This window comes from Homo sapiens, chromosome 2 (assembly GCF_000001405.40).
Source record: "Homo sapiens chromosome 2, GRCh38.p14 Primary Assembly".
Classification (NCBI taxonomy): Eukaryota; Metazoa; Chordata; class Mammalia; order Primates; family Hominidae; genus Homo; species Homo sapiens.
In genome coordinates, this window is record NC_000002.12 from 224,539,523 (window position 1) to 224,561,286 (window position 21,764).

Sequence of the window (21,764 nt, forward strand, 5' to 3'; positions counted from 1 at the left end):
TCATAATTGCCACAACTTGGAAGAAACCAAGACGTTCTTCTGCAGATGAGTGGATTAATAAATTGTACTACATTTAGAAAATGGAATATTACTCAGCACTAAAAAGAAATGAGCTATTAAGCCATGAAGAGATATAGAGATAACTTAAACGCATATTACAAAGTGAAATAAGCTAATCTGAAAAGGGTATATACTGTATGATCCAACTATATGACATTCTGGAAAAGGCAAAACTAAAGAGAGAGCAAAAAAAAAAAAATAGGTATGTAAGTAGGCAGAGCACAGGATTCACAGGGCAGTGAAACTATTCTGTACAATACTATACTAGTGAATATATGTCCAAAACCATAGACTGAGTTCATTCCAAAAGTGAGCCCTCATGTAAACTATGGACTTGGAGTGATGACGTGTCAATGTAGGTTCATCAATTGTAATAAATGTACCACTCTGGTGTGGATGTGCATACAGGGGGGGAGGCTGTGCATATGTTGGGGCAGGGGTGTATTTGGGAAATCTTAGTACCTTCCATCCTCCACCTTTTTTTTTTTTTTTTAGATGGAGTATCGCTCTGTTGCCCAGGCTGGGGTCCAGTGGCGCAATCTTGGCTCACTGCAACCTCTGTCTCCCAGGTTTAAGCCATTATTCTGGCTCAGCCTCACAAGTAGATGGGATTACAGGTGTGCGCCACCACACCTGGCTAATTTTTGTATTTTTAGTAGAGACAACGGTTTCACCTTGTTAGCCAGGCTGGTCCTGAACTCCTGACCTCAAGTGATCCACTCGCCTCGGCCTCCCAAGGTGCTGGGATTACACTGTGTCCAGCCTCTCCACTGAATTTTGGTGTTATTCTGAAAACGGCTCTAAAAACCAAACTTTATATTTAAAAAAAAAAGGGAGGGAGGGAAGAAGGAAGAGGAAGGAGGAAGAAGAAAGAAAGAAGAAAGAAGAAGAAATATTTGGGGACCACACAAGATCAAAAGACAACCCTAATTTTAAAGTATCTACCCAGGTGACTCTGATATAACATCCAGGACTAGGAAACCACTGGCTCCCACACTAGCCATTTCTGTCTCTTCCCTTTGCAGAACTTCTTCAACATGAGTATGTTTTTATATTATTGTAATAATAGTATTTATGCAATTCTGAGTCCTGCTTTTTTCTTCTAAAAAACAAACAAAAAAACCCACACAGGATCCACGTGCAGAACGTGCAGGTTTGTTACATAGGTATATGTGTGCCATGGTGGTTTGCTGCACCTATTGACTCATCCTCTAAGTTCCCTCCCCTCACCTCCCATCCTCCAACAGGCCCTGGTGTGTGTTGTTCTCTTCTGTGTCCACGTGTTCTCAATGTTCAGCTCCCACTTATGAGTGAGAAGAGCCCTGCTTTTTTAATGCCACTGATTAACATTTAATATTAACCTTTGGTTTAGAAGAAAAATACCTAGCTGTATCATATCATGTCCAATGCACCATAGTAATCCAAAGAAAAAGGTCAGATTACAATAAAGTGTAAGAAGAAAATGTCATCTGATAATTTTAAGCAAATGATACCAAAAGCATAATTTATAAAAGAAAAAATGCTAAACTGGACTCTACTGAAATTAAAAACTTTTGTTCTGTAGACACCACTGAGACAGTAACAGAGAGAAGCTACAGAATAGGAGAAAAACCAAATGACTGTATCCAGAACATATTAAAAAAAAAAAAACTCTTAGAACTTAGCAATGACAGCAAATAATTTAAAAATGAGCAAAAGACTTGAACAGACACTTCACCAAAGAGGATATACAGATGGCAATTTTGTACATGAACAGATGTTCAACAATGTAAGTCATTAGGGAAAAGCTAATTAAAACCATGAGAAACCCCTACACACCCATCAGAATGGCTAAAACAAAAGATGCTGACAGTATCAACTGCTGACAAAGATTTGCAACAACTAGAACTACCATAAACAAAATGGTACAGCCTTACCAGAAAACAGTTTGGCAGTTCTTAGGAAGTTAAATAACATCACGTGACCCAGCAACCCTACTTCTATGTATTTAACAGAGAAATGAAAACTTACATTCACACAAAAATCACACACAAATGTTCATAGCAGCTCTACTCACAACCACAAAATGTCTTTCAACAAGTATACAGGTAAATGAATAAGCAAACTGTGGTACATTCATACAATAGAGTATCAGCCATAAAAGGGAACAAATTATTGATAGAATAGTTTGGATCAATCTCAAAATAATTATGCTGAATGAAAGAAACCAGACTCAAAAGATTACAAACTATAATTCCAATTATATGACATTCTTGAAAAAAAAAATCCAAAACTATAGTGTTAAGATAGCAGATCAGTGGTTGTCAGGAACTAGGGGTTAAGAGAACTATAAAGGGATAACAGAGGGAGTTTACTGGGGTCAAGCAACTGTTCTATATCAAGTGTGACAGTGGTTACATGAATCTTTATGTGTGCTGAAATTCAGAGATATATGAAAATAAAGGCCAATTTTATTATACACTAATTTTTAAAAATTTGAATTATTATTTGAAAATTGGGCCCTGTTTCCTTATTATTTTATCATAAACATAAGCTATGATGCCACAAGCTTTATTCATAAAAGCAATTTTAATTCCAAACAATGAAAGAATTGTTAAACAATTTGAGTATATCAACCTTATGAACCACTCTGCAACAATTCAAACTTGACCACTATTCTTTGTTTCTGTGGATATAGCTTTTCTCGCATTTTTAAAAATTAAATCCTTAGCAAAGATTAAAGTGGAATTACTGTCAAAAGGAAACCTTTTTCTTTTTTTAAGAAACAGGGTGTCACTCTTTCACCCAGGCTGGAGTACAGTGACACAATTATAGCTCACTGCAGCCTCAAGCTCCTGGGCACAAGTGATGCTCCCACCTGAGCCTCCCAAGTAGCTAGGACTTCAGCAGCACGCGCCAGCACTTCTGGCTTTTTGTGTGTGTGTGTGTGTGTATGTGTGTGTGTGTGCCAGCACTTCTGGCTGTGTGCGTGTGCGTGTGTGTGTGTGTGCGCGCGCGCATGCGTGTGTAGGTAAGGGGTCTTACTGTTTTGCCCAAGCTGGTCTCGAAGTCCTGGCCTCAAAGTGATCCTTCCACGTTGGCCTCCCAAAGTGTTGGGATTATACGCATGAGTCACCGTGTCTGGCCTATTTTTCAACTGTATAATAAAACCTGCTTAATGATAAATTAATGTCCAAGCTGCAATATACACATCCTCAAGTCAGTCAAATTACTGGTAAAGAGAAACAAAAGGAGCTGGAAAGGAGGATGACAGGAGACAACAGCAGGAATGACCAGGAGCTACAGGCTTCCAAACTTTGCCCTTGAGTTTTCATTCCCAAATATCTCCATGGATTGACAAGGAAGCAATACTGGGCCAGCAGCTCTTGGGCTAGCTGGAGAGCTGAAGGACATAATGTGCACAGTTCTCCCATACCCCACAACACACATAATTGTTTTTAATCATTAATTAAAATTTTTTCACACTCTACATTTCAATGCCTGGGGCAAAATCCCAGCCAGCCAATCCTAATTAAATGTCTAGGTAAAACAAAGAAATCATCAGCTAAAACAAATTAAAAACTTTAATTCTAAAGTTCATTGAAACTAAAACAGAGTCACATAATCAATGATGATATGGAATACTGAAAATTGAGGACTTCCTTGGTAAACAAGTCTCCAAATTCAGGACAACATTAGGTCCAAATATAGACAAATCCCCAAAGTACAGAAATTTATACTTGGCATTACTGTCCATCAAAAAAATACTAATCATGTATTAAAAACATAAAATGAGACATAATAACATGGAGCACATCCTAATTATACCAGGACATTAAAAAGTATCACAGAGGTACAATAACTCAAAGGTATGTCATTCTATAAATCTATAGTATTTTAACATTCACCCAGAAGCTAAGATAATAAAAATCTGCTAAGGTTGAATATCACTTATCCAAAACACTTGGAGGCCACTCGTGTTTCAGATTTTTGATTTTTTCAGATTTTCGGTTTTTTCAGATTTTGGAATATAATACTTACCAGGTAAGCATCCTTAATCCGAAAATCCAAAATCTGAGATGCTCCAATGAGCATTTCCTTAAAGCATCATCTCAGCACTCAAAAAGTTTCGGATTTTGGCCTGGTGTGGCGGCTCAATGCCTATAATCCCAGCACTCTGTGAGGTTGACGTGGGCACAATGGCTTGAGCTCAGGAATTCAAGACCAGCCTGGACAACATGGCAAAACCTCATCTCCACCAAAAATATAAACAATTAGCTGGGGGTGGTGGTGTGTGCCTGTAGTCCCAGCTATTCAGGAGGCTGAGGTGGGAGGATCACTTAAGCCCAGGAGGTGGAAGCTGCAGTGAGCCGAGATCATGCCACTACACTCCAGCTAGGGTGACAGAGTGAGACCCCTCCCATTTCAAAAAAAAAAAGAAAAAAGTTTCAGATTTTGGATTTTTGGATTAGGGATACTCAACCTCTTTGCAGACAACTGCCCAGGGAAGTCACTAACTAAGGGCTCTGAGCAAGTCACCTAACCTATCTAGTCTGTAGCACCTCTTTACCTGTGATGTGACTATGGTTGATTAGATCAATGACATCATGTTCCACTGCAATGCCTTACTTAGCACCACTGCAGAAAAGACTTCATTTCCCCTTATTAAATATGATTTATAATAGTTTTGTATGATTTTTTAAATTGGGGCTTCTATTTTAAAATAATTGACAGCCACTGGATGCCTGCTATCTTTCTGGCTCTAAATTCCAAAACATGTTGCCTGTTTCATCTGTTAAAGACAGCATAATACAAAAGCATGCAACATTTACTATGACCTACAAAAATAGCACTTAATGCCATAACTTCTTCAATCACTTTATTAACGATGGATAAGTTGCTTTTAGTTTTTTACCATTATAAGTAATGTTACAAAAACATTCTTACATATACAAAAAAAGTTAAAAAATAAAAATAAAAATAGCATTTAAATTTCCACTTAAAACATACTTTTTTCAGTCCTGCATTAATCACATGTGGTCTAGGGGTTTGTCACTTTATAAATTTTGCCAGTTACATGAATTTTAGTCTTCCAAGGAATGCCATTAAATAATTCTTAAAGATTTCAAAATTTTTCCACCTTATCATACCACAGTGGTATGACACAAACCTATCAATAAAAGTGGCTTACTAGATAAAGTGAATCCCAATGGGAGACAAGCCATAAGGTATAGAGGACAGCTGACAGAACTGTTTGAGAAAAAAGCTTCATGGCTCTTTCCCTCACCCTGAGAATTCCTGATCTAAAAGGTTAAAAAGAAACACTGCAATGTTCTGCTATTTTTACAGAAGTCATATACAAAAATAGGGGCAGGTCAGGAATAAGGACACTTGCTTTCCTTTCCTCTAAAGGATAGAATTTCTGAATGACTGGAAGGAACTCTTACCTCATATTTTGAGGAATTCTTAATGCAGTCAAACTCCAATTATTTGTACAACTAATATAAATTTGGTTAACAGATGTTGCTGTTATAATACATATAGCAATCTTAAGATTTCTGTATCTCAAACAAGCTTCTACTAAGGCCAAGATAATTAATTTTAAGTTTTGTAGGTATTTTAAACTTTCCAAGAATTAACTAATGATGAGATTCCTGAATAATATAAAATTCACTATCCTTTTCATACAGTAGACTGTGTTATTCTCATTATTTTTAATTAACTTTAATAATTAAGATGGCAATAGTGATCAGAAAAATTATACCAGTATCCTTAAAAAAACAGTAAGATAGCCACTGTAGGGAAAAAATTTTCTCCATTGCTGCCAGAAGATTCCTCATTAAGTAATTTTCTAACGTACATAGTAATGTAACTTAACAGCATTTCACAAAAAGCACACTATTCTCAATTTCAAAATCAAATTCATTCTCAGTGGAAATATTCCCCATTCTTACTCTTTGCTTTAAGTGTCCAAAATGAAGCTCTTAAAGAAATCAGGTCCTATTATCAGATATCAACCACTCATTCAAAAGTATACAAAGTATTTCCCCAGACTGACAATTCATGTATTTATGTTTGCTTCCAGCAGGCAAAACAGGGTGCTTGGCACTATGGGGGATACAAGACACTTTCAGCCACTTTATAATCTCTGAGGGAGAGGGGAGAAGGGGGAGCCTAATATTAGCATTCAAATGACCTCAATACAAAGTAGAATACAATAAATAGCACTACGGAAAAGTTACAAAGTTCAAAGAAGGAACACAGAACAGGTGTTAGGACAATACACTTTCACAATTTCATACATAAAGATAATTTGCTACGTGTTGAAGCAAATACTATTTTAAAAATCACATAAAATTTGACATTTTTAAAAAAGGCATTCTTAGTTCAAATATGCTTTTAAACTGGTCTTAAAATAGTATGACTTAGAAAAATCAGGATTTCTCAATCAGTACAAAATACTACTATGAAAAATGATAGCTTTTTACTTACTGGTTGGAAAGGAATGCAGAAAGAAAAATGACAGTACACCACAGAAAAACACCACTATGACTTATCGTTTGTAAAGTATACTATTCCCAATGGTTAAGATATACATTAAAAGCTATTATTATAGCATTAGTATCATGGTTAAACTTAGTAACAGGCACACTGACAGAATTAATCAGGAAAACATACACAAAGCATGACAACAAAGCTACCAGTATTTTTGTTCTCGAGTACGATGGAAAAAACCACCATGGTTTCTCAAGATAACATGATCTGGTTCTAAGCCGACAGACAGACTTCAATCTCAAAAAAACAGAAGCATATAGCCCGATAATCACCTGTGTTTTTAAATGGTTGTCAGATTTAGTAATTAACTCGAGTAGGGAGAGGTATTACCCCACACAGAGAAAAAAAAAATGGATCTCAGCTATTTGTGGCTATGAACCAAGGTGGTTTCCATTTTGACTGCTGGTAGTATTCTCAAAGATTCATTTCAACAGACAACTGAGTGCCAACCACATGCAAAGAGGAGACACAAAGATAAATGAACAGGTCCTCCTTCATTTATTCACTTAGTAACAGAAGAATATCACTAAAAAATACAACAGAAATAGGATGGGGGGGGGTACTTGCCCTCAAAGTACAGTCTACCTAACAACTTAAGCAGAATAGCTGATACTTAACATGGGCAAACTTGTTAAAACAACACTTTTAAGCCTCCTCTCCCCTAACATCATTTCTCTTCCATCCCTTTCAATGTAGAAACCATTCAATTTCCAATGTCCTTCATATCCCACGGTTGCTGTTTTCCTGACTCTCTAATAATCCCTTTTCCACACACTATCCCCGACAAGTCTCTGTCTCTTTTGGGATTATGCTATTTATATTTAGGTCACTATCCCCATATCATACCCATTAACAGTTTTCACACCTAGCTCACAGTCTCTTCTCACTCCTGTCACCACCATCCCAAAAAGCATAATGGGTTGAGTACTTCCAGCAACTTTTAAGTTAAACATCAAGACAAGATAGCATGAAAACTAAAGATGAGCAAGCAGCAACAAGGAACTGAAAATGGCACTCATCCTAAATGCCTGACTACATCTTCTCCACTGCAGTCAGCCTTTCTAAGGATTAAAAAGCAATGGCTCCCACCACCAACAGAAAAACACTCAAATCCCCTACAATGGTTTTCAAAATCTAGCCCAACCCACTTTACTATCCTCATTTCCTACAAAAACATTCGAAGATGCTTTTGTTCATCCTTATGAACAACATGTTCACCTTCCATCTATACTGATCTATCTCACTACGCTCATACCTACCTGCCATTTTTCTCATTCAACTTTCTCTCCTTGTTATCTACCGGGACAGTATTTTGGCTTTGCTCACATGATGAATCTTGAGTAATGCTTTAAGTATAATCAAAAGTGACCTCCTCTTTCTACCTTGCCCTGAATTCCTCAGGCAAAGTAACTCCCCCTCAAATCTGATTACCTCGCTAAAATTATGGGATTCTTGCTGGCAAGAATCATGTCTTATTTATTTTTGGGTGGCTGAAACATAGGAGAAACTCAATCTCTGTGGGCCTCTGAAATGAATCTGAATTTGCTAAGGAAAATCTTATTCCCAAGTGTTTCTATCAATATTCTTAACTCACTGCAGTCATTATATATTGTATATATATATGCCATTAAAAACATTAATTTTAATGTTTTCCATTAGATTAATTAATATTTGCCTAGAAAGGGAAAAGCACTCCAAAAGCTTTATTATAAAAGGAAGTCTGTTTAATTGACATAAAGAAGAGTCCACAGTTTACCTTAAAGTTACCAACTTCATGTTCACATAAATATCTTAACTTACTTACAAACAAATATAAAATTTAAAACTGGTTCTTCTTCCCCATCTAGAAATAGGGAGAAAAATATATTGAAAAAGTAGTTCACACAGAGACAGCATTTTCAGCAAATAAGACCCTAGGTACAAAAGATAAATGGTGAGGAATTATTTGTTCTACAAAAAGACATTGCAGTTTACAAAGAAATTCAAAAAAGAAAGTCACTTGAAACTTGAAACCATGTCCCCTTCAAGGCTGCAATTTCCCCACTGGTAAAACAAAAGTGCTTAGAACAGATTATGACTACAAAGCGTAGATCCAAGTATGTAAGTCTAAAACGTAACTTCCACAAAGGCAGGAATCTTTCCTTGATATAGTACAAATGCTCACACCAGAGCCTTGCTCAACAGGCGGTTTTCTGAATAAAGGAAAGGTGAGCAGGATGAAGCTCCTCTTATTCTGGCTTCCTCCCATTCAATCGGAGTAAGATATTATTTGAAGAATAGGACATACGGATAGAAAAACTTTGAAAACCACTAGAATAAATGTTCTTTCCAATAATAACTAAAAAGATAAGTTAATTTTAAATGTTAACTTTTTTTTGTTCAGCTATTTTTCTAAGAAACCAACTTTCAAAGTTCAATAATTTTTATAGGTTCATTTATGAGGTTACCATGTTATTTGATTATTACTATGGAGTATTAAAGATGAAGAAATTAAGCATAAGGTAAATCTAAGAAAACTGCTAAGCATTACAAAATTGAGATAATAAAGCTCTTCCCATATTAAAACTAAAGTTTCTCCCCTGACTTCAAGAAAATTAAAAATTGAGGCCAGGCACAATGGCTCACGCCTGTAGTCCCAGCACTTTGGGAGGCGGATGGATCACTTGAGCCCTGGAGTTCGAGACCAGCCTGGGCAACATGGTGGAAACCTTGTTTCTACAAAAAAATATACAAAAATTTAGCCAGGCATGGTGGCACGTGCCGGTAGCCCAGCTATGTAGGAGGCTGAAGTGAGAGAATCACCACAGCCTGGGAGGCGGAGAATGCAGTGAACCGAGATTGTGCCAACGTACTCCAGCCTGGGAAACACAATAAGGCCTGGTCTCCAAAAAACAACAACAACAACAACAACAAAAAAGCTGGACGCTGTGGCTCACGCCTGTAATCCCAACACTTTGGGAGGCCAAGGCGGGTGGATCATTGATGCTACTAGGAGTTCAAAACCAGCATGGACAACATGGCAAAACACCATATTTACTAAAAATACAAAGATTGGCCGAGCATGGTGGCACACGCCTGTAATCCCAGCTACTCGGAAGGCTGAGGCACGAGATTTGCTTGAAACTACAAGGTGGAGATTGCAGTGAGCCAAGATGGCGCCAACTGCACTCCAGCCTGGGCGACAGCAAGACCTTGTCTCGGAAAATAAATTAAAAAAAAAAAAAAAAATTGAAACATTTTTATTCAAAACACATGGCACAGGAATAAACAGTCTTAGAGACTATTATCTTCCTAAGTCTTAATAACCTAAACTTATCAAGACACATAATCATAATTTTTAAAGTTCTTTGGGCTAAAACGACCAACTCCAAACTCATTTTATAGATTAATACTTTAAATCCCAGAAAGGTTTAGTAATTTGTTCAAGATTATTAGTGAGAGAATTAAGTACCAATGCTCAGTTCTATTTTCTACCTATTACTTTTCCCACTGCAGCTGCATCTAGGTTATTTCTTACTATTAAAGTGCTCAACAGGAGTTAGAAGAAGAAAAGGCAAGTCCTTTGTTACTCTACAACAAGCTTAAAAACTGTCAAGTTTGAATCCCAAATAGGAACCTTATGAAAGGAGAATGAAAGAAGATGGCTCCACCCTTAACATGCCCAAAAGTAGCAAAACTAATTATTACTATTTCTAAATTTAAAACCGTGCTTTAGTATCTGACTTACATATACACATATATGCGTGCACACACACACACACGCACACACACACACGCAAAATGGCTGTGAAAAACTGTAACTCTGCTAAATACCTGTCAAATATTATTATCTTATAATGTAAGATTAGAGCTAAGTCTTAAGTACCACTAACTGGCAACTTTTCAGTCTCCACTGCAATCCTCAATGTATCTGAACACGAAGTGTTTAAATTCCTCAGGGTGCAATCCTGGGCCCTCTTTTCTCTTGTCTCTGTGACTTCATTTACTTCCAGGGCTTTAAATACAGGTTGGGTACTCCTCACCCTAAATGCATGGGGACCCGAAGTGTTTCAATTTTCAGATTTGAGTATTTGCATATACATAATGAGAGATCTTGGGGATGGAATCCAAGTGTAAACATGAAATTTATTTGTTTCATATACACCTTATACACATAGCCTGAGGGTAATGTTATATTTTAGTAATTTTGTCTGTGAAATAAAGTTTTGGCTGTGCTGTGACTGTGACTCCATCACATGAGATAAGCTGTGGAATTTTCCACTGTGGCATCATGTTGGCGCTCAAAAAGTTGTGGATTTTGAAGCATTCTGAATTTTTGGATTAGGGATGTTCAACCTGTACCATCTATATGTTCACAATTCCCAAATACACATCTCCAGTTCAAACTTCTCGGATAATTTGATTTGCATATCAAATTTTACAGGTATCTTAAAACTAACCTGTTCAAAATGGAGCTCCTTTGTCTGCCCCACCGTATCAGAAAATTAAATCACCTAGCCTAGCCAAGAGCCAAAAACTTAAAACTGATCTTAGATTTGTCCGTTTCTTATTCCCTACAAACAATCTGCTAGCAGGTAACGTTCTTTCTACATCCAAAATATATCTTGTATTTTAAAACTTTTCTCAATCTTAACTGTCACTACACTAGTGTAAATCATCACTGTTATTCACCTGAATTTCTGGATTACTCCTTCCTGGTCCCCTTATTTCAACTCTTATGCTCTCTAACTTATTTATCTTGCTTAAAATCCTTAAATGGCTTCCTAACGTACATATAATTAATTACAAAGCCTTCTGCCATGGCTTCAAGGTCTGGCATGATATGATCTGGCTTCTGCTTCTCTCTGCAACCCCATCTTGTCCCATTCCTCTCCATTACCAAGTCTTAGCTCCCTACTTATGATGGGATTTTATTCAATGTCTTTAGGAAGTGGCAAAGAATAGCCTCCAGCTTTTTTTTTTTTTTTAATCGCTCTGTTGCCCAGGCTGCAGTGCAGTAGTTCAGTAACAGCTCACTGCAGCCTCAAACTCCTGGGCCTCAGCCTCCTGAGCGACTGTGACTACAGGTGTGTGCCACCAAGCCCGGCAATTTTTTTTTTTTTTTTTTGAGACGGAGTCTCACTCTGTCGCCCAGGCTGGAGTGCAGTGGTGTGATCACGGCTCACTGCAAGCTCTGCCTCCTGGGTTCACACCATTCTCCTGCCTCAGCCTCCTGTGTAGCTGGGACTACAGGTGCCCGCCACCACGTCCGGCTCATTTTTTGTATTTTTAGGAGACATGTGGTTTCACCGTGTTAGCCAGGATGGTCTCGATCTCCTGACCTCGTGATCTGCCCACCTGGGCCTCCCAAAGTGCTGGGATTACAGGTGTGAGCCACCACGCCTGGTCAATTTTTTTTTTTTTTTTTGTAGAGACAAGGTCTCACTATGTTGCTCAGGCTGGTCTCAAAACTGCTGGCCTCAGGTGTTCCTGCCACCTCAGTCTCCCAAAGTGCTAGGATTATAGGCGTGAGCCACTGCACTCAGCCTGCTGCCTTTTTAAAGTAAAGTTTTACTGGAATACTGCCATGTTCATTCATTTACATTTGGTCTGTTGCTGCTTTTGTGCTACAAAAACAGACTCTGAGGAGCTGTGCCTGAGAATGTATGGCTCAGAAAAACAAAAATACTGACTATCTGGTCCTTTACAGAAAAAAATATTGTACAGCCATTCACTTTGCCTAGAATACTCTTCAACCCACTTTTCTTGTGAGCGCTTATTCTTCTAATCCCAGTTTAAACACTATCACTTCCTCAAACAGCCCTTTCTTGACCTATGTGGTTGTCTTTATCATTTTTTCCTCTATCACTGTGTCCTTTCTTGATTATATTTTATAACTAAATACTTGTTTACCTGTTTACTATCTGTTTCATAAGTGCAGGAATCAGATGTATTCTATTTACCAATATATTCCTTACACCTAGCACAGAGCCTGGCAAACAGTTTTGAATGCTGAATTCTGTGATGGGAAAAGTCTTACAGGATACCTTTGACACTTTGACAAAATAATATATATTCTAAACGTCTTTAAATCTGAAAAGCAGAACTTTTTTCCTCCATTACTATGCTTTTTTACTTTATTTAGAAAAAAAGTTAAAAAACAAATTCCTGTGTAAGTTGAAATGTTTTCATTTTCTAAACCAAGATTTTTCTTATGGTGAGGTACAAAGGCCACATTACACCCTAAATTTTGCCTTGTGGTCTTGAGAAATGAACTAAATTCCTATGGGTGTCAGTTTCCTCAAAGGAAACATTCTTCCAGAGACAAGAAAAATAATATCCTACCAGAAGTGCTTTTATTAGAGAAACAGTACTTATATTTTCTATGCCTGCTTCAATTTTGTGAACTTATTTTGAAAGCCAACAATCAGCTACAACAATCCCAAAGAGATGTCCTCTCTGAAGCCTCCCGTCATCTGCTGTCTGGTAGTCTGTGTTGCGCTACTTTACCAAAATGTTTGACTTTGTTCACTATCCTCACCTTGAAATCAAAGTACCAACAAACTATATAACAAACCAGCCCTCAATCCATGTAAAAATTATATTTCCTTGGAATTCTTCAATGTGAAAAGATGGGTCTTGGCTATGTATACCATAGCACTAAAAGCACTTTGCTTTAAAATAAATAAATATATGGTTCGTCAGGCAGTTCAGCTAACTGCCAAAAGCATTGTGAATTAAAAACTGATGAGCAGACCAAACAGTAATGCTTTCAGAACAACAAAAAAAGGTATATTCTGTGAGATTAAAGATAGGTATTCTGATACCACAGAACCCTGAAAGAATATCTCACCTTCTAGTCAAAAGATGCAATGCAGAGATAGGCAGTACTGATTTTCATGCAAACTATGCTTTTGCACATTGTATCAGTAACATCTCTAAGTCTCATTTAGTAGAACAAACTGAGACTTACTACCTTAGGAAACAAACATGTCAGAGGTCCTACCTTAGGAAACAAACATGTCAGATGGTCCTACCTATCAGTTAATAGTTCTTTCGATAGTGTCCCCTTCAATACAGTAGTACTGTGTTTATATGATTATTAAAATTGTTTTATAAAATAGGAGTAAACATGAAAACAAAAGCACAGAAACTAGCAGAGGCTTCAAAACCTAATTCACTGTAAATAATCAATGAACAGACATGCTGAAATTGCTACATTTCCTAGTCAAAAATTGACTGGTCAAATGAGCGTGAAAGAAAAGAATAAATAAAAGAACATTTTCAGATGCCGGCAATGATCATTAATGACTATGTATAAGGAAAGTAAATTTAAGAATTTAGCATATACTGTATATTTTAAAATTTATTTAGTACAATCAACTTGAATGCATGTTTTGGGGGAATATATTATAAAAACTGCCTATATTCTGAAATGATAATTGTTATGGACTGAATGTTTGTGTTATTCAAATTCATATTATGAAACCCTAATCCCAAATGTGATAGTATTTAGAGGTGGGGCCTTTGGGAGGCAATTAAATCTTGAGAATGGTACCCTCATTAACAGGATGGAACCATTATAAGATACATGAGAGACATGACCTCTCTCCCTCCCTGCCCTGTGAAGACACAGCAAGGAGGTGGTTGTCTATAGACCAGGAAGGGGACTCTCACCAGAAAAATGAACCTGCAAGCACCTTGATCTTGGACTTCTCACTTGCCAGAATGGTGAGAAATATTTGTTTAAGCCACCTGGTTTATGGGATTTGTTACAGTAGCTTAAGATGAGGAAGACAACAGTTAACCTTAAATATGGGACCACTTTAAGCAACTTATAATATACTGAAACTCAGAGTTCTCATGGAGTGACTGCTCACGTAACTTCAATATCTACTGGACCATATCTTCAACATCCAATTGACCATACTGGAGCCCAAAACTTGGTCACCGAAACACTGATCTCACACTCTGGCCTTCTCTCTTCTCCTCACTCTTTGGACGAGCCACTTCTCAACCCTAACACACAACTACTGATGTTTTTTTCTGCACCTGTGCCCAAGGTTTAAAAAAACTGACATAGCACACATTCAGGCCAACTCCTATGAAGCTATCTTCTTCTGCACTTGCCAATTCCTTAGTATATCCCTTACAAAGGCTACTCCAAGTCTCTTCGTCTCGTTTTCAGAAGATGGATGGTTTATTAGATTCATAATAATTTTAGAAATAAAGAATCTCAGGGATATTATTTCCAACTCCATTATTAAGTAAATTTAAAGGATTCCTAGAATTTAAAGGACTGGAGGTTTACAGACAGTAAGTCCATTAACTTGAAGCCCCTTACACTGAATTTCAGCATACTACAACTTGATCATTCTACCTTAGGAGCAGATCTACAGAGAATTCAAGGGCTCAGACTAAAGCCACATTGCCTGAATTCAGTTCCGGCTAGGCCACTTAACAGCTATATGGACCTGGACAAATGACCAATTATCTGTGCCTTGGTTTCTTCATTTGTAAAACAGACATAATAGTAGTATCTGCAACATTGGGCTGTGACTGTTAGCTAAGTTAAAACATGTAAAAGCACTAGAACTGGGCCTAGCACACAGTAAATGCTAAATAAAAGTTAATTGTGTTAATTATCATTCCCTATAGAACCTCTGACGAATGAGAACATGCCCCTCTTCCAAGTTTACTTCTTTTCCATTGTTCTTAATCCCATACTCTCTATATCCAATAACTCAGCTGTTCCAATCTTCTCTCCTTCAGCAGCTTTAAACAAAACTCTTCCACTTGTCCTTTTGATGCCAAATTTCTTAAATTGGTCTTTTCCATTTCCCACACCTACTTACTATAGTTTGCTCCTAAGATTCATCCCTTGGCTCTGGGCTCTTCATTTTCTGAACTCCAACACTTGTTCCTCAGTATACGTTACCAAATGCCAAATCTCCACATCTAATTTTGAGTTCCTGCCCAAGCTCTAAATCTATGTGTCTCCAAACATACGATATCTCTACTTGGGCATCTTACTATGATCTCACACTCAATTTTCCTCACATGCAAAATGATTTCTAAGGTATCTTCCAAGGATAAACATTTTCAATATAATCTAAACAAAACTTATCATATTCTCTACCCATTTCAAATCAGTTTCCCACTATTACTTCACAGTATTTGCAATTGGTGGCACTATAATTCTCCCAGTAAGCAATCTTTGTCTAGACTTAAGTTTAGAATTTCTGACATCATCCATTCATTTCTAGCCTATCACTTTACCCAGATCTTTCCAGGTCTTCTCCTGATTTTATAAACCTCCTCTCAATTTTACATTTATAGCATCCTCATAATATGCTGCCACATAATCACCCACTTAAAATCACATCTTCAAATATTCTGTCACATTTTCACCCACTTAAAAACCTCCAATAACTGTCTACAGTTTAGTCCAAATTACTTAGTCTGGCACCCAAATTTTTCTACAATCTGTTCCCAAACCATCTTTGTAACACTACAATCCACTAATCCCTGTAATTATTATATGCCTCAGTCAAACTCTACTTACCACCTAAGTTTAACCAACCAGTTCATCTCTATATAATTTCACAACATCTGCCATCATGGAATGCCTTCCACCACACTGTTCATATATATCCCAAATATTTTTCAAGGCTCAATTCAATTTCATTCTTTCCCATAAAATCTTACATCCCAAGGCAACCTCTCCTCCGTTTGAATTCTTAAGCCATTTATTGCCTATGCAACTCACTTGCCACTTAATTATATAATGCCTCACACGGTTATCTAAATGTGTGTATCATCCATCTCTCACATCACAATAAAAACCCCAGGAAAGGATAGTATCTTATCTCTTTGCATCCACTACATTATGACTGAAAGCTGTGCATAATAGGCACTTAATAAAAAACTGCTGATTGTGTGAAAAACACAATCACCTTGCTTCATAAGATACTAACTGCGTGGCTCATGTAATTCCCTTTAAGAGAAAGAAATTACAGAAGAAAGAGCAGAAATAGAAAATTACTGTTCTGGAACCACCATAGTAATAATGATTCATGCAAGAATCATCAATGGATGCTAAAACCATCACATGAAAGTTTCTAGGGAACAGGATATTCATACAGTGTCAAAATATATCTGAACAGATTACTTATGAATTACAAAGGGAAAAAAGGTACCTTTACAGTGGAGAAATCTGGCGGACACCAATGATCAAAGTTAACATCACCAATAATGGGATAAACTGACATCAAGTGCCTCCTGATGTGATGCACTGAGGACACAACATCACTTATGTATTATTCCTGCCAAAAATGCATAACCTGAAACTAGTCATGAGGAAACAATCAGACACACCAAAAACTGAGGGATAATCTACAAAACAACTGACCTATACTCTTCAAATATGTCAATGTGCTGAAAGACAAAGAAAGGCTGAGGAACTGAACATGAGATCCTGGACTGGATCCTGGATCAGAAAACAAATTGCTATAAAGGAAATCACCACTAAACAGGACAATTGGTGAAATCTGAATAAGGAATGTATTAGGCAACAGTATTATATTGTTAAACTGCCTGATTTTGATCATTGTTCTTTGGTTAAGTAAGATTTCTTTATTCTTAAAAGAAATGTTGCAAAGTCTTTTGGGGTAGATGAAATCTAAAACTTACTCTCTAATGGTTCAGCAATAATAATATTGGTAACAGTAATTATAACACATATCAATAGAAAAACTGGCAAAAAAAATGTAGCAAAATGTAAACAACTGGTGAATCTAGGTGAAGGGTACACAAGAGTTCACATCGTGCTATTCATGAAACTTTTTTTTCAAAATAAAACTTAAAAAATAAATACCCCAATACCACATAAAGACTATGAGAAGTTTTTATCAGTCTGTGTGGTATTTCACATTTTATTTGACAATCTTAAAGCAAGGCATTGTAATAAAATTTATTTTCTAAATGAAATTACATTTTACATGCATTGGAAGAGTTCACTCTATAAAAACATTTGTTCTAAAAAAATACATCTTTCTGAAATCAGAGAACCATTTTTAATAATGTGAACAGCCCAACAATAATTTATCTTTAAAAAAAATTCAAATGTACCACAGAACTCAGTTAAAATAAAGTCAATTTTAGTTAGTGATCCATCTTAGAAATATATTTTAAACAACGTAGTTTTATTGTTTTCAAATATACAGAAAAATGAGAAAGTAAAAATGGGCTGATTAAATCATTTTAAGGAAAAAAATTCCTTGTAATTAACATATTAATAAGCATTTGTGAATTACTGAGTTTGCTTCATTATGATTTAAAGAAAGCATTTATTATAGCTCACAAACTTCATCTCTCAAATATCCAAATTTTCGATTTAGCTGATTATAAATTTTTCATGAGTGCTTATTAACAGTCACGAATTAGTAATTTCTATAGGCTTCTGGCACCTTTAAAAAGAACACTTCCGGTCAAAGTGCAATATGGTATAAAGGATTTTCTACATTCAATATAGTATTAGCAACAGTCCTTTAAAGTTTGATACCTTATTTATGAGATGTTCGGTAACAACTTCTCTTAGTCCAGTGTAGAGCTTTTCTCCATGTTTATGCAAAACCATTGTATATGCATTTCTATAGAGCTCCTCAAAACTAAGACCACTGTTATTCTTACGCTGGATTTCTTGAATTGCATTTTTCAGAAGGTCCCAAATGCTGTTTACATATTTTTCATCCATGGTCATCTGTAATATCCAAGAGAGAGAAGAGACAAAAAAAAAAAAAAAAAAAAAACCAATGGTTGAAAGTCTTTCTATATTTGTCCATATATAGTAAATATTGTATTATATAGATATGATTATAAATCTATGACACATAAGAACATTAACAACCTATTTTAACAGGGGGAAAAAAAGGATACATTTAAAAATAGGTTCTAGATCTGTTAGAAGCACTTTCTCATCTTTTAAGACCTCCCTCCAATCTTACCTGGAGCAGAACTCTTCACTTTAAATAAAATCATAATGATTTATATACCCGTAAGTCACTTACCCCTTATCTCTCTCCCACCAAAATACTTGCCAAGTTAAATCCCAACAGCCCACATACTCCTGACATATATCCGTATAGCTGAAAGAAAACAAAGAATAACATATGCCCATATTTTTGGTCCATCTGAGTTTAAATTCATAACCACTAACGTTAAGTGCAGCCTTCATGCAACCCCACAATTCCACTAGTCAGTCTACTCACTCTACTCTTCTAGATGATTTTATACCACCTCCTCCATCCTCACTCTATGATTATGACTGCTTCCTATTCCACTGAGAAAATAAAAACAACCCGATGAGACACTATACAAATTCCCATCATATTCACACACCAACCGACCTGATTTTATGCCAATAAAACCTGCTAGGTTCTTGTGCTCAAAGTGCCAAGTTATTGTACTCGAAGTATAGCATAAGGACCAGACACATAAGCAACACCTAGGAACTTGTTAGAAGTGCAGAATTTCGGGCCCTACTCCAGACCTACAGAAACAGAATCGACATTTTAACAAGAACCCAATGTAATATTATACAGAATGAAATTTGACAAGTAAATCTCTAGTTCTATGCCAAACCACCTATTGAAAAGGCCTCCCTTGGCTGGGCGCAGTGGCTCACGTCTGGAATCCCAGCACTATGGGAGGCCGAGGCGGGCGGATCATGAGGTCAGGAGATCGAGACCATCCTGGCTAATACGGTCTCTACTAAATATACAAAAAATATACTAAATATACAAAAAAAAGATTAGCCAGGCGTGGTGGTGGGCGCCTGTAGTCCCAGCTACTTGGGAGGCTGTGGCAGGAGAATGGTGTGAGCCCGGGAGGCAGAGCTTGCAGTGAGCCAAGATCCCGCCACTGCACTCCAGCCTGGGCAACAGAGCAAGACTCTGTCTCAAAAAAAAAAAGAAAGAAAACTCCTCCCCTTAGTAATCACACATCTAAGCATCATCAAAATTTTTCCTCTGGTAGATAATTTCCATTCATACTGAAAACTGTCAGTTTCACCACATGGACTGGCTCATGCCTGTAATCCTACCTAGCATTTTGGGAGACTGAGGCAGAAGGATCACTGGAGCTTAGGAGTTTGAGACCAGCCTGGGCAATACAGTGAGACCCTGTCTCTACAAAAAAATTTTTTAAGAATTAGCTGAGCGTGGTGGCGCATGCCTATAGTCCCAGCTACCCGGGAGGCTGAGGGAGGAGAATCACTTGAGCCCGGAGGCAGAGTTTGCAGGGATCCAAGATCACAACACTGCACTCCAGCCTAGGTGACAGAGCAAGATTGTGTCTCAAAAAAAAAAAAAAAAAAAAATGTCAGTTTCCTATGTCAAAAACAAATCCTCACAAACCCATATATTCCTTCAGCACCATCTAATCTCTCTTTCCATTTATGGCAAAATCACAGGCAAGAAGAGGAGATTGTACATGCACTGTCTCCAAGTTCCATCTTTCCATTATATCTTGAATCTACTCCAGTAGGGCTTTCATCTCTACCATTTCACTGCAACTACTCTTGAGAAGGCCACCAGTGACTTCTATATTGCCAAAATCTAATGGGCAAAGTCTCAGTTCTCCTCTTACTTACCTATCCAGCAGCATTTGAAAGAGCTGATCACTCCTACTCCTTGAAACAAATTTGGCAAGGCATGGTGCCTCACACCCATAATCCCAGCACTTTGGAAAGTCAAAGCGGGAGGATCACTTGAGTCCAGGGTTTCAAGACCAGGTTGGGCAATATGGCAAAAACCCATCTCTACTAAAAATACAAAAATTAGTCGGGCATGGTGGCATGCACCTGTAGTCCCAGCTCCTTAGTGGGGCTGAGGCGGGAGGATCGCTTGAGCCCGGGAGGTCGAGGCTGCAGTGAGTGGAGACTGCGCCACTACACACCAGCCTGGATGACAGAGCAAGACCCTGTCTCAAAAAAGAAGAAGAAAAAAAAGAAACAAATTCCTCACTTAACTTCCAAGCACTACAATCTCTTGTTTTTCTTCTACTTCTGTCTCCTATTCATCTGTTTTACTGGCTCTTAATTATCACCTAAACCTCCAATCCTAAAGCTCAAGTTCTCGATTTCTTATCTAGCCACACTCAGTTTTTGTTTTTTGTTTTTTTTTAGTCACACTCATTTTCTAGGTGGAGTTGATCTATTCTCATGGTTTTAAATCAATCTTAAAATTGATACATTCTCTGGCCCCCTCTGTACATGCCAGAGTCATATATCCAGCTACCTACTCAATGTTTCCACTTTAATGCGTAGTAGGCATCTCAAACTTACCAAGCCTGAAACAGAACTCCTCATCTTTTCCCTCAGTTGGTTTCCCCTGAAGTCTTTTCCAGCTGAACAAATGTCCACTCCATCCTTCCAGCTGCTCCGGCCAAAATGCTTGTGATCATAATTAACTACTCTCTGACCCCACTACTACTCCAACAGAAAATGCTGTTGTCTCTAACTTCAAAATGTATCCCCAGAATTCAACTCTTTCTCACCACTTCCACTGCTACTATCCTGGTAAAACCACCACCACCTCCAACTGGTCTCCATCTCCACTCCTGGCCTGCTATCATCAGGCAACCAGGGTGACCATGTAAAAGCATAAATCAAATCATGTCACTCATTTGCTCACAACTCTCAAATGAGTTCTCATTTCCCCTGGAGTTGAAGTCAAAGTCCTTACAATGTTCTATAAGCTTTATTCGATCTGATAATCTCTCAACTTCATCCATTTTTTCCTTTTGTTCGCTCTGCTCCATGCACTCCCTGGCATACATCAAACAAGCTGATTTCAGTGTCTTCGTATTTGCTATTCTTTCTGTCTGAAATGTTCTTCCCTCAGTTTCCTGCATGGCTCAAACCTCTACTCAACTGTCATCTTACAGTGAAGTTTTAAATGCCCACCTTATTTACAGTAACAGCCTCACCTCACTACTGATCCCCAACTCCAACCCACATTCTTCATTATTTTCCTGGTCTCCCTCTCTACAACCAAATGTCAGCTTCATGAAGGCAGGGATCTTTTTTTCACTGCCAAATTCCTCAGCCTCTAAAACAGTATATGGCACATAACAAGGATTCATACTTCGGTGACTGATTTTCTGCTAATATATGACTAATGACCCCTTTG

The 21,764-nt window shown here is 37.4% G+C and overlaps 1 protein-coding gene across 7 annotated transcripts in view; it reads right to left on the minus strand.

The window, feature by feature from the left end:
- CUL3 (cullin 3) overlaps window positions 1-21,764 on the minus strand; it is a 115,214-nt gene that overhangs the window by 69,373 nt on the left and 24,077 nt on the right. For 3 of the 7 annotated variants that reach the window (NM_003590.5, NM_001257198.2, XM_006712800.3), the window contains exon 2: window positions 18,137-18,334. The exons of 1 other annotated variant lie outside the window; for it this stretch is intronic. In NM_003590.5, the coding sequence (NP_003581.1) occupies window positions 18,137-18,334 (198 nt within the window). Of the gene's footprint in view, window positions 1-16,772; window positions 16,923-18,136; window positions 18,335-20,917; window positions 20,957-21,764 lie in introns of those variants that run through there. 3 more of the 7 variants (XM_011511995.2, XM_011511996.3, XM_047446024.1) reach the window with 3 other exon arrangements.